The sequence below is a fragment of the Homo sapiens genome, chromosome 19 (assembly GCF_000001405.40).
Source record: "Homo sapiens chromosome 19, GRCh38.p14 Primary Assembly".
NCBI classification, from domain to species: Eukaryota; Metazoa; Chordata; class Mammalia; order Primates; family Hominidae; genus Homo; species Homo sapiens.
The window spans coordinates 8,671,740-8,687,523 of record NC_000019.10 but is presented as its reverse complement, the minus strand read 5'-3'; the positions used below and the strand labels follow the sequence as shown (position 1 = coordinate 8,687,523).

The 15,784-nt window shown below is 46.9% G+C and overlaps 1 protein-coding gene across 3 annotated transcripts in view, besides 1 other annotated feature; it reads right to left on the bottom strand.

Moving 5' to 3' along the window:
* Window positions 2,684–2,866: a silencer, noted in NCBI's record as "fragment chr19:8794921-8795103 (GRCh37/hg19 assembly coordinates)". NCBI's record gives its function as "represses an EF-1alpha promoter that drives an FKBP-Casp9 reporter gene in an ReSE screen in K562 erythroleukemia cells {active_cell/tissue: K562}" and the evidence as "EXISTENCE:reporter gene assay evidence [ECO:0000049][PMID:32094911]".
* Window positions 6,373–15,784, bottom strand: part of NFILZ (NFIL3 like basic leucine zipper) — a 50,519-nt gene continuing 41,107 nt past the window's right edge. For 2 of the 3 annotated variants that reach the window (NM_001378599.1, NM_001378600.1), the window contains 3 exons: window positions 12,924–12,973; window positions 11,068–11,165; window positions 6,373–10,773 (listed from right to left, as the gene is read on the bottom strand). In NM_001378599.1, coding sequence (NP_001365528.1) covers window positions 9,889–10,758 — 870 coding nt within the window. In that variant the 5' untranslated portion in view covers window positions 10,759–10,773; window positions 11,068–11,165; window positions 12,924–12,973 and the 3' untranslated portion in view covers window positions 6,373–9,888. The remainder of the gene's footprint in view (window positions 10,774–11,067; window positions 11,166–12,923; window positions 12,974–15,784) is intronic. The other variant, NM_001378601.1, reaches the window with a different exon arrangement.

Genomic DNA, 15,784 nt, shown 5'->3' with positions numbered 1-15,784 from the left:
CTTTCATTTCATTATTACCCCTAAGGAGGCTTTTTAAACATGTTTATCCTAGTTCCTCCCCTGCCATGAAAGTTTAATATGATGGATATATTGCATAGCTGCCCAACTGAAGTATTTACATTTTGAACCATGTGAATATAAATATGTAATACATATTTTTTTTTGAGACAGGGTCTCACTCTGTTGCCCAGGCTGGGTACAGTGGCACAGTCACGGCTCACTGCAGCCATGATTATAACCTCCTCCAACCCAGCTCAAGCAATCCTCCCACCTCAGCCCTCTGAGTAGCTGGCACTACAGGCACATGCCCCCACATCTGGATTTTTTTTTTTAATTTTATGTAGAGATAGGGTCTCACTATGTCACCCAGGCTGGTTTCGAATTCCTCAGCTCCAGCAATCCTCCTGCCTCAGCCTCCCAAAGTGCTGGGATTACAGATGTGAGCCACCATGCCTGGCCATGAGTATATTTTAAAATATGGATGTTTGCTTTAGGTTCCTCTGGTGTCCACCCAGACAGTTCTTTTTCCTTCCTAATCTTCTCCCTAGTTGTGACCATCAAATTTCTGTTTAATTTCTTGTTAATCAATGGTGTCACCATCCCTATCACGAGTTCCATGAGGACAGGCCCCCCCCGTGTCACTGCTATGTCCCCAGTTTCAACAGCACTCATCACACAGTCATGCCCAATACATGTTTGTTGAATGACTGAATGATTCAAAACATTCAAACATCATTGAGTGACTGAATGAATGAGCCAAGAAGAATCCTCTTCCGTGGGAGGCCACTTCCCCTCTCTTCCTTGGGCATTGGAGTCAGACAGGCCTGGGTTCCAGGCAGCTTCCTCCCACGCTGTGTGACCTTAGACAAGTGGCCTGACCTCTCTGAGCCTCACCTGAAAAATACAGCCATGTCAGCGCTCACTTCAGGGGAGTTTTATGAAGATAAAATGAGCTCATGCAGGCTCTCTGGGCAGTGTAGAAGGACATCTCTTAAATTTCAGTCACCTTTAAGATGGGAGGCTGGAATCTTTTGAGTTTATATATGAATGTAATTGTTTGAATGTTTTATGATGCAAATGCCTCCATAGACATAATATTTTTTTTTTTTTTTTTTTTTTTTTGGAGACTGAGTCTCACTCTATCACTCAGGCTGGAGTGCGGTGGTGCAATCTCAGCTCACTGCAACCTCTGCCTCCTGGGTCCAAGCGATTCTCCTACCTCAGCCTCCTGAGTAGCTGGGATTACAGGCGCTGCCACCACACCCAGCCTAATTTTTGTATTTTTAGTAGAAACAGCGTTTCACCATGTTGGCCAGGCTGATCTCGAATTCCTAACCTCAAATGATCTGCTCGCCTCGGCCTCCCAAAGTCCTGGGATTACAGGCGTGAGCCACCGCGCCTGGCCAGACATAAATTTTTAAAACTGCTTTTTGACTAATGCATGAAGTGGACTTAGCATGCTTAGTACACAGCAAGCTCTCAACAGATGGTGGGGCTGCTGTTGCAACTAGATCGTGCCAAAGACGGACCCCCGAGTCCAGCCTTGGACTCACCCTCCAGACAGACAGACAGACAGACAGCAACCCAGGACCTGGACACCCTCTCTCAAGGGTTTGAGCAGAGAGAGAGGGCCCCTGTTTATTGCGAGGCCCAGGAGAGGAAGTATTTGGAGAAGACAGGGTTATTCCACTAGGGAAATGATGAACCCAGCAGAGATGATGTTGAGGCCACCAATTCAGGCTGAGCAGATGCAGGGGCAAGCTTGGCTTCATTTTACAATTTGACACCAAGTACCAGGTGCAGTGCCTTATACCTGTAATCCCAACACTGGGAGGCAGAGGCAGGAGAATCAGTTGAGCTCAGGAGTTTGCAACCAGCCTGAGCAACACAGCAAGACCCTGACTCTACAAAAGCTAAAAAATTAGCCTGGCATGGTGGCACACGCCTGTAGTCCCAGTTACTTGGGAGGCTGAGGTGGGAGGATCACTTGAGCCAGGAGTTCAAGGCTGCAGTGAGCTATGATCATGCCACTGCCTGGGTGACAGAGCAAGACCATGTGTCAAGAAAAAAGAAAACATTAAAAAAAAAAAAAAGGAACACTGCGGGCCAGGTGCAATGGCTCACGCCTATAATCCCAGCACTTTGGGAGGCCAAGGCAGGCAGATCAACTGACCTCAGTTCGAGACAAGCCTGGCCTACATGGTGAAACCCCATCTCTACTAAAAATACAAAAATTATCCAGGCATGGTGGCACATGCCTGTAATCCCAGCTACTTGGGAGGCTGAGGCAGGAGAATCGCTTGAACCCACGAAGGGGAGGTTGCAGTGAGCAGAGATCGCACCACTGCACTCCAGCCTGGCAACAGTGCGAGACTCCATCTCAAAAAAAAAAAAGAGACTCAAAAAAAAAAGAGACTCAAAAAAAAAAAAGAGACTCAAAAAAAAAGAGACTCAAAAAAAAAAAAACCCTGGAGCATCAGAGCTCGAATGGGGAAACTGAGTCACGGTGTGGCACAGTGGCCTGCTCAAAGCCATCCAGCATGTCCGTGGCAGAGTTGAGATCCCAGGTTTCCTGCCTGCCAGATCCAGCTCATCTCACCACCCTCCCCTGTTTCCGGAGGAAATGGAATTTGAGTTAGGATTTGGATTATTCCTGGGTTTGCCAAGGAGGAGAGGGATGAGGACATTCTGTGTAAGGGAACAGCGAGGATAAAAGTGTGGAGTCTGGAGTAAAGCAAGATGCAGAAAATGAATAACAGTGACAGCCAGCATGTAGCAGGTGCGTTAGGACCTGCCAGACTCAGCTCTCACCTCCCCGTGGGTGTCACCTCCTCGACTTCTCCCACAGCCCTCGGGGGGTAGGAACTACAATTATCCCCATTCTGTAGAAGAGGAAACTGAGGCCCAGAGAGGCAAAGCAAAGTCGTGAGAAGCAGGGCAGAGCCCTCTCCCCTCTGTCTAAGAACCCAGGCTGGGACGGGGGTTCTTAGTCTTTCCCCATGACCCCAAACCCAGGCCCCAAGACAGGAAGACAGTGGCCAGGGCAGCCCTGCTGGGGACGAAGGCGGGCGAGGACGGCCTAGGCCAAACCACAGGACAGGATTTCTCAGAATTTACAGTATGGGGGAGAGGGGAGGCTGGGGCTGCTCCCAGGTCCTTCATAGGCGGGAGAGATGGGGTGATGGGGGAGGGGGCACACCAGTGGCCTTAGGGGAGGGAACTCAACTCTCCCCCATCCCCTACATCCTCCGCAAGGCTTCAGCCCCACAACACGGCTTGTGGGGGGGCATATGGAGAGACTTGAGGCGGTTCCTTCACCCCCAGGCTCAAGCACACATGTGTATACATGTAGGTATCATGCCCACACCTACACGCCCTGATCTGAGCACATACGTGAACACGCATATGCTGTGTCTCCCACGCAAAAAGGGGCGGGAGTGTGTGTGCATGTGAGTTACTTCCCTACCCAGGCAGGTCCAGGCGCTTCACACCCTGTCACCCTGGCATACCCACAAAGCCAGGGCTGGCAGGGCTCCCACGCCCCCATTTCCAAGTGGGGGCCAACAAGGGGTGATTCTCCTCCCATATCCTCATACTCTGCGCCCTGTTCCCTGATCTCTCTGTCCCTTTTGATCTCAGGTGCAGGCCTTCCTCTGGGCATGGCAGACTCACTAGCTTTTTTTTTTTTTTTTTAAACATAGTCTTGCTCTGTCACCCAGGCTGGAGTGCAGCGGCACGATCTTGGCTCACTGCAACCTCCGCCTCCTGGGTTCAAGTGATTCTCAAGTCTCAGCCTCCCAAGTAGCTGGGATTACAGGCACCCACCACCACGCCCAGCTAATTTTTGTATTTTTAGTAGAGACAGGGTTTCATCACGTCAGCCAGGATGGTCTCGAACTCCTGGCCTCAAGTGATCCACCCACCTCAGCCTCTCAAAGTGCTGGGATTATAGGCGTGAGCCACCGCACCCGGCCTCATTAGCATTTTTTTAATTGAGGTGAAATTTACATAACATAAAATTAATCATTTTAAAGTGTCCAATCCAATGTGGCCTTTAGTGCCTTCACAATGGTGTGCAGTCAGGCATCAGTGGTTCAGTGGTAGAATTCTCGCCTGCCACAATGGTGTGCAGTGAGTGCCTCCAGCCAAAACATTTTCATCATCCTCAAAGAAATCCCATCCCCATTAGCAGTCACTCCCATTCCCACCTCTCCCCCAGCCCCTGGCAACCACCAATCTGCTTATTGTCTCTAAGAATCATGTTTCAAATATTTCACACAAATGAAGTCAGACAACATATGTCCTTTTGTGGCTGGCTTCTTTCACTTACTAAGGTTTTCTAGGTCTTGGTTCAAATGTCACCTCCTCAGAGGGACCTTCCCTGACCTGCCCAGTCCCCGAATGCCCCAGCCATAAGCTCACAGCCCTCAGTAGCATCTGACACAGTACTGATTGTCTATTTGTTCACCTGAAGGTTGTCCATCTTCTTATCAAAGGGCAGGTTCTGTAAGGGCCACCCTTTGAAATCTATTCCAAAAGGAATAGATTTCATTGTTTCTGGAAGGTTGTGGGTGAATAAATAAATGGATGGATGGATGAATGCATGCACGCATGCATGGATGGATGGGTGCATGAACGCATGGATGGATGGGTGGATGAGTGAGTGAATGTGTGAATGAGTGAGTGAGTGAATGAGAGAGTGAACAAATTAGTGAGTGAATGAATGAATGAATTAGTGAGTGAGTGGATGAATGAATGAATTCGTGAGTGAGTGGATGAATGAATTAGTGAGTGAGTGGATGAATGAATGAATTCGTGAGTGAGTGGATGAATGAGTGAGGGACTGGAGTGCATGAATGAATACATGAGTGCATGAATGAATGAGTAAGGGAGGAAGGGATTGAATTAGTGGGTGAGTGAATGAGTGGGTGAATGGATGAATGAGTGAATGAATGAGTGGGTGAATGGATGAGTGGCTGAATGAATAAATTAGTGAGTGAATCAATGAATGATGAGTAAGTGAATGAGTGAGTGGATGAGTGCAAGAATAAATGAGTGAGTGAATGAGTGGACAGATGAGTGAGTGAATGAATGAAGGAAAGACTTACGTGACACCCTCCTTCTTTGTCTCCCTCTGCCCCATAACATGGCTCCTGTTTCCTTATCAAACCTCAGATTCAATTCAACAATATTTCTCACACACTTGCATGACAGGCTCTGTCCCAAATACAAAAGCTTTTTGGGTGAATGCAACAGAAGAATCCCCATCCTCATCCTCCAGATCATAAAACCTGGTGACACAGGATCTAACTCTTGAATTAAGTAAGAGCTACAATGGAAGCTTTTACTAAGAGGCTCATCTGAACCTATTCACTTCATTGATTTGTTCAACAAGTATTTATTGAACACCTACTATGGGTACATGCTCAACACAAATAACTGGGGCTCTTATTTAGACTGGATGTACAGGGAGGGCCTTTCTGAGGAGGTGGCATTGGAACCGAGACCTGAAGATGGAAAAAAGAGTCATTTAAAGACTCAGGGAAATTCCAGGCAGAGGGAAAGCAAATGCAAAGACCTGAGGCAGGAAAGAATCTCAAGGAATAGAAAGTTAGCCAATGACACTGGTGCAGTGATGAGGCGGGAAGTGGCCCAGTCACCAACTAAGTAATATTAGGCAAGATACATAACTGCTCTGAGTCACAGTTTCCCCATCTGTTAATGGAGATCATAATAATGAAGGCTTTTTCAGAGGGTCAAACAAAATCTAGGATAAATCACCAGCACAACCACTGGCCCAGACTAGGCAGCCAAGAAATGAGTCTGCTTGTCATAGGTGACAGACCCTCAGGAGTCATGGTATTTGCAGGGCAAGTTGAAGCCTTTACTTCCTTTCCCCTCCATGGCCTTCCTCCCCAGAGTAACCAGTTTATCTCCAACTTATCTCCAGCTCTTCCTGTTTGCCTGAGCTGTTTACCTTCCTGTTTACCTACCATGCAATGCCTTGAGAACTATTCCTGGCCACTTCCTCACTGACTCATCTCCCACCTCAGCCATCCCTTTGCCCTTCCAGCATCCCCCACATGCATCTGATTACCCTTTCTCCCACACTTGTCAAAAATAATTATTTAGTGGAAGACAGCTTCATAAAGAAAAAAAAGAACCATCTGTGTTTTTCTTCCATGATTCCACCTCATGGAGTAGCTTTACCTGCCCTGTCCGTCATATCTCAGAGAAGTTTAGAAGCAGGGATGGGATGAGCACCCTGGCTCTGAGCGCAGGGAGAATGTGGCCATTTAGGGGGACATGAGTCACAGCAACACTGTGGTCAGTCCCCACCTATCCCCACCCCAGACAATGAGCCAGCTCTCCTGCACTTATGTGGTGGGTTTATTTTCACTCAGCCTCACACATCACAGGATGGAGGTAAGGGGAGAACTACAACAGAAATATACTTGGAAACGTCCCCCTCATGCCCATATCACTCAGAAAGGAAGCCAAAGTCCTCACCTTGGCCCACAAAGTCCTCCACAACCTGCTTCCATCACCTCCCTGCCCTCGCCTCCTCCCTCTCTCCCCCTTACTCACTCCACTCCAGCCACATGGGCCTCCTCAATCTTCCTCAAAACACTAGGCACTATCCCACCTCAGGGCCTTTGCACAGGCTGTTCTTTCTGACTAGGAAATGTTCTTCCTCTGATACATGCATGACTCCCCCCTTCATCTCTCTCAAGTCTCTGTTCAAATGTCACTTTCTCAGCAAGGCTGAGATCCCCCTATTTCAATCCTGATCTCCCTATTTCAATTATTACAACGCACCCACACCTACCTTTCCCAAGCCTCCCTTTTTTCTCCATGACACGTATCATCATTGATCCTACTATATGTTTTTCTTATTTTTTAATCTATCTCCTTCCCTGGGTTATCAGTACCATAGAGGCAGGAATCACATCTATTGTGTTCACTTCTCTTTCCCCAGTACCTGGAACATAAAGATAGGAGACTATCTTTATGATCTTGAGACATGGAAGTTGTCTTAAACATGACAAAAATGTACAAACCACAAAAGAAAAGACTGCCAACTCGGCTGCATATGATTTTCAGACTTTTTACAACAAAACATGCCTTGAATAAAATGAAACAATGAGAAACTTATGATCAAGAAAATTTGCTAAATAAGCAAATGAATTAAAAAATGAATGAATGAATGAATGAATGAATGAAAATGCTGTTATAGCTGAGCCACAAGCTCGGCCCTGAGCTCCTTGGTGGGCAAAGCAAAAAGGGAAACAGGATTTTTTCTTTTTCCTTTTTTTTTTTTTTTTTTTCAGATGGAGTCTCGCTCTGTCGCCCAGGCTGGACTGCAGTGGTGCAATCTCAGCTCGCTGCAGCCTCCACCTCCTGGGTTCAAGTGATTTTCATGCCTCAGCCTCCCAAGTAGCTGAGATTACAGGCGCTCGCTACCATGCCCGGCTAATTTTTGTATTTTTACTAGAGACGGGGCTTCATCATGTTGGCCAGGCTGGTCTCGAACTCCTGACCTCAAGTGAGATCCATCTGCCTTGGCCTCCCAAAGTGCTAGGATTACAGGCATGAGCCACCTTGCCCTCCAGGATTCACATTATTTATGAAGATAAAACAGTCCAGAGAAGCCCCTATACCGGGCAATTTATTTACTGCCTCTTATTTAATATTCACAATATATTTCTAGGGAATGGGCTCATTTATAGGTAAACATTTATAGATGTATAAGGGAGGCTCAGTGACATGAGAAAAGCCACCTGCTGGAAGGTCAGGCATGGAGGGAAGGAGAAGGGCTGATCTTGCCCAATCCCTGCCCTGGACCAGAACCAAAGGCTGAGCAAGTAGAGGAGGTCCTACCTGTGATGTGCAGGATTCTAGGGATGCCCAGTCACAGGGGAGCTCTTGGCCTGTTTGGTGATACTGCCCACCTGTTGTACTAGTGAGAGAGAGGCACTTTGTACGTCCTCACCCTGCACACATTTGTGGCTCTGATAAACTTGGAGTAGCCAAGAACTAGCCCAGCCCCCAGATCTGGTGGGGGTGGGCGATGCTCCTGAGTCCAAGTGATCCAGTTGGCCAGGGGCATCTGGTTCTCAGTGTCAGTACCAGTCCAGATGAGCCCCCCATCCCATGAGCTCTCCCCATGATTGGAGTTTGAGTATTTTTATCTAGAATCTAACAAGATCCCTGATGTAATAATAATAATAATAATAATAATAATAATAATAATGGGAGAGGGGCTGAGTGAGAAACTGAGGAGGAGGGAGCCTTGATAAGTCCTTGGGCTCCAGGCCCCTGGAAGACCTTCCCTGCAGAATGGACCCTTCCACCTGGGTGGGTGTATACCTGGTTCTCAGGGGCAGGGGGCAGCCAGGGAGAGAGAGGACACTGATGCCCTCACACAGCTGCTCCTGTTCCAGCAGCTCAAGGCCTGATCCAAGACACAGAAGAAGCCAATATGTCTGCCCCTCAAACTGGGTGGTAAGCAAGCCCCCCAGGGGACACCAAGAAGGGGGATTCAGACACCCTAGACGTTACCTCCTCCTTCAGTCTGGTCTTCAGTATGTTTCTTCCCAAACACCCATTCCTACCCCAGGACAGGAAACCCAAGACCAGAAAAGTGTCTTCTCACTTGTCACTAACTGGGCACAAAAGGAAGGTCTAAAGATCGTGAGTGGGTGGGTGAGGGGACAAGTGAATTATAAGTAAATTAATGAGTAAGAGAATGAATGAATAAACAAGTTAGCACATAAATGAGTGGCTAAATGAATAAATGAATGAAAGGATGGATGGGTGGATGAGTAGATGAATGGGTGGATGAAAGGAAGGATGTGTAGATGGATGGGTGAGGATGGATGGATGGATGGGTAAATGGATGAGGATGAGTGGATGCAAGGAAGGAAGACAGGATGGATGGATGAATGGGAATGGATGAGGATGGATGGATGGATGGAGAATAAATTGATGTATGAATGGATGAATGGATAGGTGTGTGGATGGGAAAATGGATAGAAGCAAGAAAGAATGGGTGGATGGATGGATAGGTGAGGATGGGTGGATGAGTGGATGAGGATGGATGGATGCATGCATAGATAGGTGGATGGGTGGATGAATGAATGGATGGATGGATAGATAGAAGGAAAAACAAATGCATGGATGAATGAGAATGGATGGCTAGATAGAAAGAAGGAAGAACAAATGCATGGATGAATGAGAATAGATGCATGGATAAATGGAGGATGGATAAATGGACAGATGGATGGCTGAATGGATGGACGGATGGATGAATGGATGGATGGATAGATGGACGGATGGATGGATGGATGGATGGATGGATGGATGGATGGACGGACAAGTGGATGAATGGATGGAGGGATGGATGGATGGATGGATGGATGGATGGATGGAATGGATGGATGGATTGATGGATGGATGAATAGATGGGTGGATGGATGGATGGATGGATGGATAGATGGATAAGGATGGAGGGACTAATGGATGGATGGATAAGGATTGATGAATGAATGAATGGATGAATAAATGAGGATGAATGGATGAATGGATGGCTATAGGGAAGAATAGATAAATGGAAAGGAGGAAGGAAGAGGGAAAAGTGACAACCCAAAGCATAGATTTTAAGGCAAGGCAAGAGCCATGGTAGAATCCAAGATGGGCTCCCATCCACTCCACCCCTAGGAGGTCTGGTATGGAAGCTGTGAAGTGGACCTTCCAAGCCAGGGCACCCCTACTTCCTACAGGCCTTCCCAGATTGCTGATCAAGACCAAGCTACTCATCCCTCAGACAAACCTATATTCCGCCCCCAAACACCCCCTTGCAAGCCTAGCCCTTCCCAGAGGAAGCCCTCAGAGGGGCGCCTGACCACCCTCCCAGCCACGAGGTACCCTGCCTGAGGCTCGGGACTTGATGCGCAGTTTGTGGGGCAGAGAGGGCTGACCCAGACCCTCAGGACTGTTCCCTGGGGCAGGGCAGGTCACCCCAGGAGACAGACCCATGGGATCAGCAGTGGGTGTCAGCAACACATCTGATGGCCCTGAAGCCCGGCATCCAGAGGGCACTGGTGACCACAGCCCCCAGCAGGGTCTGAGCTCTGGTCTGGACCCTACATGCCCCTCCAAGAGGTGACAGCTGAAGAGGGCAGGTGGGAGGGCAGTCTGCAAGGCCATGTCAATTCTGTTGAGGGTAGGAGATGCAGACTCTTGGGGGGACCTAGGAGAAGTGGCCAAGCCAGTCCATCTGGGAGCCAGCAGGCAGCCCCGACATCCTGGAATCCCAGCATCCAGGGAACGTGGCCTTAAGAGGCAGCTGTGAGAGCCAGACAAGGATGAGAGTGCTTCAGCCCCAGGCCGGGGGTCCCCAGTCCAGGGGGCTTCCAATAGCAGAGCCTGCAGGGGCAAGGCCCGGGGCCCACCAGTCAGGGGCAGGAGGCCAAAGCGAAGCTTGAGCGCCTTCAGCTCACCCTTGAGCAGGGCATTCTCCTCCATCAGTGCAGCCAGCCTGCCCTCAATGGCTGCATCATTGAGACGTCGCTTTTCCCTGGATCTCTTGGCTGCTTCATTGTTCTTCCTCCGCTTCTCCCAGTAAACTGTGTCCTTCTTTTCTTCTGGCATGAACTCCCGCTGGCGACGTATGGAGGGGCCCCTGCCCCGAGCCCCCCACAAGGTCTTGCTATGACTCTGAGACACATCTGGCAGGCCCGAGAAACCCACATCCATAGCTGCTTGGAGAACCTGGGAAAAAGGAAAGAGTTCTTGGAGTAATGGCAAAGGGTGGACCTGGATGACCCCTTTCTCTAATTTATCCTTTGTCTCCACCATCACCCATGGAGGGGACAGGTGGAGTTGGAACTGAGCTGGAGACCAAGGTTCGATCTTCATCTGTTTGATGCCCAGTGAAGATTGGGTGAGGCCACAAAACAAGAAACTGCTAGAAAGGCTTAAGAGCAGACCACCGTCATCATGAAGAGCTGGTTCAACCCTGTACCCTCAGAAGGACACATGCTCTTCCAGGGGTGTTCTCCTTACTGTTGAGAAGGTCAGCAGACAAGCCCAGGGCTCAGTTCAATTGGAGTTCCAAGGTAAGATTCTTGGAAACCCAGAGGGAGACAGAAGGATGACTGAACCTAGAAATAGAGAATATGTATCCATGGAGGTAAACAGAGCCAATTTGGGATCAGAAAATAAGCTGCTATTCACCTAAACTGTGCCCAGATTGTACCCCAAGATCGCTTCAGTTTGTGGCCAGAATTTTTTACCTGCCCTTCCATCCATCCAACTACCCACCCATTCATCGGGTAATCCAATCACTCACCCATTCACTCAACTGTCCATTTGTCCATCCCTCTACCCAACTCACCATCTATCCATTTATCCATTCATTCACTCACTCACCATCCATTCACTCAAACCCATCTCCCCATTTCATTGTGCAACTCTCCATCACATCTACCACTTACTCACTCATCCATTCATCCAACCGTCCATTGATTCACTGAGAGATTCATTTTTTTTAAATCACATTGTGCCTTTACTAGGCATCTTTTCATCCATATATTCATTTGCTGATCTCAACCATCCACCATCTATTCCTCCATTCTTTCATTCATCCAAATGTCCCTCCTATGTGTCAGTCACTCTTCTACAAATCCATTCATTCATCTATATATTCATCCATGGGTCCATCCATTCATCCAACCAACAAAAAAGCAATTTTTTTAGAGGCATGGTCTGACTGTCACCCAAGCTGGAGTGCATTGATGGGATCATAGTTCACTGCAGCCTTGAACTGTTGGGCTCAGGCAATCATCATGCCTCAGCTTCCCAAGTAGCTGGGACTACACTTGTATGCCATTATGCTCAGCTATTTTTAAATTTTCTGTAGGAACATGGTCTCACTTTGTTGCCCAGGTTTGAAAACAAAACACAATTCCCATGTGCCTAGTGTTGAAGAATTAGAGGGTTGGTAATTGGGGGTAGAGAAAAAAAATCAAAGTTATTAGATTCCCAACCCCTAGGGTGGAGCCCAGAAAAGATGCCCAGTGTCCCAGAGATATAGCAAGGATGGAAGACTACCTCCCTTGCCTCAGCCCAGTTTCTCACACTGGTTTTCATGAAGACTCTAACACAAAGATCTGGGTTCTACTAACCACCTGGGGGATGTCTTCACCTTCTGTGATTCAGATACAAAACAGGTGGAGAGAAAAACCACAGCAAGGCGGAAGGAGCCTGTCTAAAAATTCAGAACAAACTTCAGGAAAGAAGGGGCACTGAGGGCTGAAAACCGATCATCTTTGTTCTGAAAACCGATGACTGTCATCTCCATAAGGGCATATGTATGTCTTTTTTGGTCTACTCTTGTATCCCTGGTACCTAACATTGTGCTTGTAAATAGCAGGTGGTAAATAAACACTTGTTGAATGAATTAATGACTTAATGAATGAACACATGAATGAAAACAACCTTGTTCACAGCTGGAGAGCATTTAACCCCCTTGCTGAACTCCCACCCAAGAAACCATGAAAGACACCACATTTTTCTGTTCACTTTGGCAGAAACTCAGTGTTGAGTTTTAAGATAAACCGTAGTAACTTTCCTAAATTGGGAGTATAGGTTTTTCTTCCCCAACATTCTAATTTAGTCTTTTATTCTTCACTAACAGCCCTTGACCTTAGTTTCTGTTGCTACATGGTTATGTGACATAATTCAGGTCATGTTTGACAGAGGATAAAGGAATATACAACCAGACAAATAGCAACACTCCAAGGACCTCTGACAATGATCCTAAGTCCACATTTCCCAAAGTATGTTCCTAGGAACCCCAGTGCCAAAGATGACGCGCCCTCAGAAAAAGAATACAAAAATGTTTGAGAAATATTGCATACCTTATTCCTTATAGGAGAATCACAAAGTACATTGAAGGCTCTGAGAAATCCTGCAAAAAAAAAAAAAAAAGTTTAGTTTTGTGACTTAGAGGCTCTCAAATTTATTTGCCCAAGAAATGCTTACTATACTTCACAAAACAATTTGAGGTGCATATTTATTCATTCATTCACTGTGCCAGGTTGTAAGGTAGACAAAAGAAGAAAATCAAACTGCCTCCCAGCCTTCACAAATCTCCCAGTCTCATGGAAAAGTTGAGTGAAATTATAATAAAAGAAGAAAATATGTCTAGAGAAGGTCTTTCATCTGCTCACATCACACAGTAAGTCAGCAGCAGGACTAAGATTTGAACTCAAATCTGTCTAATGTGTGAGTCTGCTCCGCCACACCATGTGATCTGCTCATGTGCTCAGGAGGCCACCATGTCTGGAAATCTTGGTTGGGCTTGGAGAATAAAAAATAAGGCCAAGCGCGGTGGCTCATTCCTGTAATCCCAGGACTTTTGGAGGCCGAGGCAGGCGGATCACAAGGTCAGGACAGCAAGACCATCCTGGCTAACACGGTGAAACCCTGTCTCTACTAAAAATACAAAAAATTAGCCAGGCATGAGGGCATGCACCTGTAGTCCCAGCTATTCAGGAGGCTGAGACAGGAGAATCACTTGAACCCGGGAGGCGGAGGTTGCAGTGAGCCAAGATTGCGCCACTGCACTCCAGCCTGGGCGACAGAGCAAGACTCCATCTCAATCAATCAATCAATCAATCAATGCCTTGTGGTGTTCTGCAGTCGCCCAAGTCAACAAGAACTCCTAGCTACTGGAAGGTCTCCAGCACTCATGCCCAGGACCACCTAGTCACAGAAGGGACTCCAGTGCCCATGCCCAGGAACTCCTCTGAGAATTTCTATTCATGGGAGGGACTCCAGTGCCCATGCCCAGGACCTCCTCTAAGAACTCCTAGTCACAGGAGGGTCTGCAGTGTCCATACCTGGGACCCCCTCTGAGAAATCCTGGTCACTGGGGAGACTCCAGAACCCAAGTCCAGGACCAACTCTGAAGCCGAAAGACATCTGGACCACCTCCCCACCTGTTGCCACTTGCTGTAGTGGTAGGCGGCTCCACACCTGCCCACATCACATGGGCTGGGGAAGCAGCTGCAGTTAGGTGAACCCTGGTCCACAGGTGCCAGACGGGACGCCCTGGGTTTGCAATTTCCTGCAGCTGTCTCTGAGCTTTGTTCCTGGTAGCCAGGCTAATAACATAACCTTGCTCAGGTGTCCAAGTTCACTGAGCCCTTATAGACACCTAGGGCTACCATACCCTCTGTCAGGAGCATATCATCCCCACTTACAGACCATGCAACTGAGGCTCAGGAAAAGTTAAGTGGCTGACCCAGGGACAGTCAGAGATTCCAAAAGTAAGCAGCATTCTTCTCCTAGCATGTGAGTACCGCCACCAACTCTGGCCCCAAAGCTGCCACTGACACCCCTCAAATCCTTCTCCCCTGGCCCCATTCATGCCACCTCCCACTAATCGCTCCTCCACAGTTGCATCCACCCCTCTCTCCAGTCCCCACAGCCCTGGTCCCCGCCCAAGCATTTTCTATCCCACCTGGGCCCCCACCAGCCTCCACCCTTGTCCCCCACAAACCCACCATGAGCCCAGAGGTAGCTTTTTGAAATTCCATTTATCCTTTGCTTAAAAGCCTCTGGGGTGTGCTTATGAAAGTATAAGCATCTTAGACTCCTAAAACCAGTGTTCATATGTTCCTCAATTCACCTCCACCCCAGGATCAGGAATGAAGGAGGAAGGCCCTGTAAAAGTATTTATTGGAATAAACTAATAAATATATGAATATTTTTTAAAATAAACTATTTAATGCATAAATATTTTTTGAATGAATGCCTGAATATTTTTGAATGAACTAATAAATGCATGGATTTTTGGCATGAACTAATAAATGCATGGATTTTTTTTGAATAAACTAATAAATGCATGGATTTTTTTGAATTAATAAATGCATGAATATTTTTTGGAATGAACTAATAAACACATGAATTTTTTAATGAACTAATAAATGTATGGATTTTGAATGAACAAATAAGTGCATGGATTTTTTTTGAATGAACTAATAAATGCATGGATTTTTTGAATGAACTAACAAATGCATGGATTATTTTGAATTAACTCATAAATGCATGAATATTTTTTGGAATGAACTAATAAACACATGAATTTTTTTAATGAACTAATAAATGTGTGGTTTTTTTGAATGAACAAATAAGTGCATGGATTTTTTTTGAATGAACTAATAAGTGCATGGATTTTTTTTGAATAAACTAATAAATGCCTGGATTATTTTGCATGAACTAATAAATGCATGGATTTTTTTGAATGAACTAATAAATGCATGACTATTTTTTAGAATGAACTAATAAATGCATGGATTTTTTGAATGAACTAACAAATGCATGAATATCTTTTTGGAATGAACTAATAAATGCATGGATATTTGAATAAATTAAAATTGAGTGAAGCGTGGGTAAATGAATGAATGAATGAGCAGATGAAGGAATACTCAAAAGGGCAGAACCCATAACAGTGAGGTGCAGTGAGCCTGAATGGGTCCTCTCTCCCCACAAAGGGCTGGGCCTGGGTCTTCCACTGCCCAGACAGCTCACCTGAGCCCCAGACAAGACCCCAGACAAGCCCTCACTTGGGGTCCCCCACTAGCCACAGAATTCCCCTGCCACATTCCTGGCCCTGTCTTGGGGGGACATCAGAGGGGGTCCCAACAACCATTCCAACTTCAACGGATGTTGACCAGAGCCCAGGAATTGATGAACATCTGTGTAGAGGTCCACG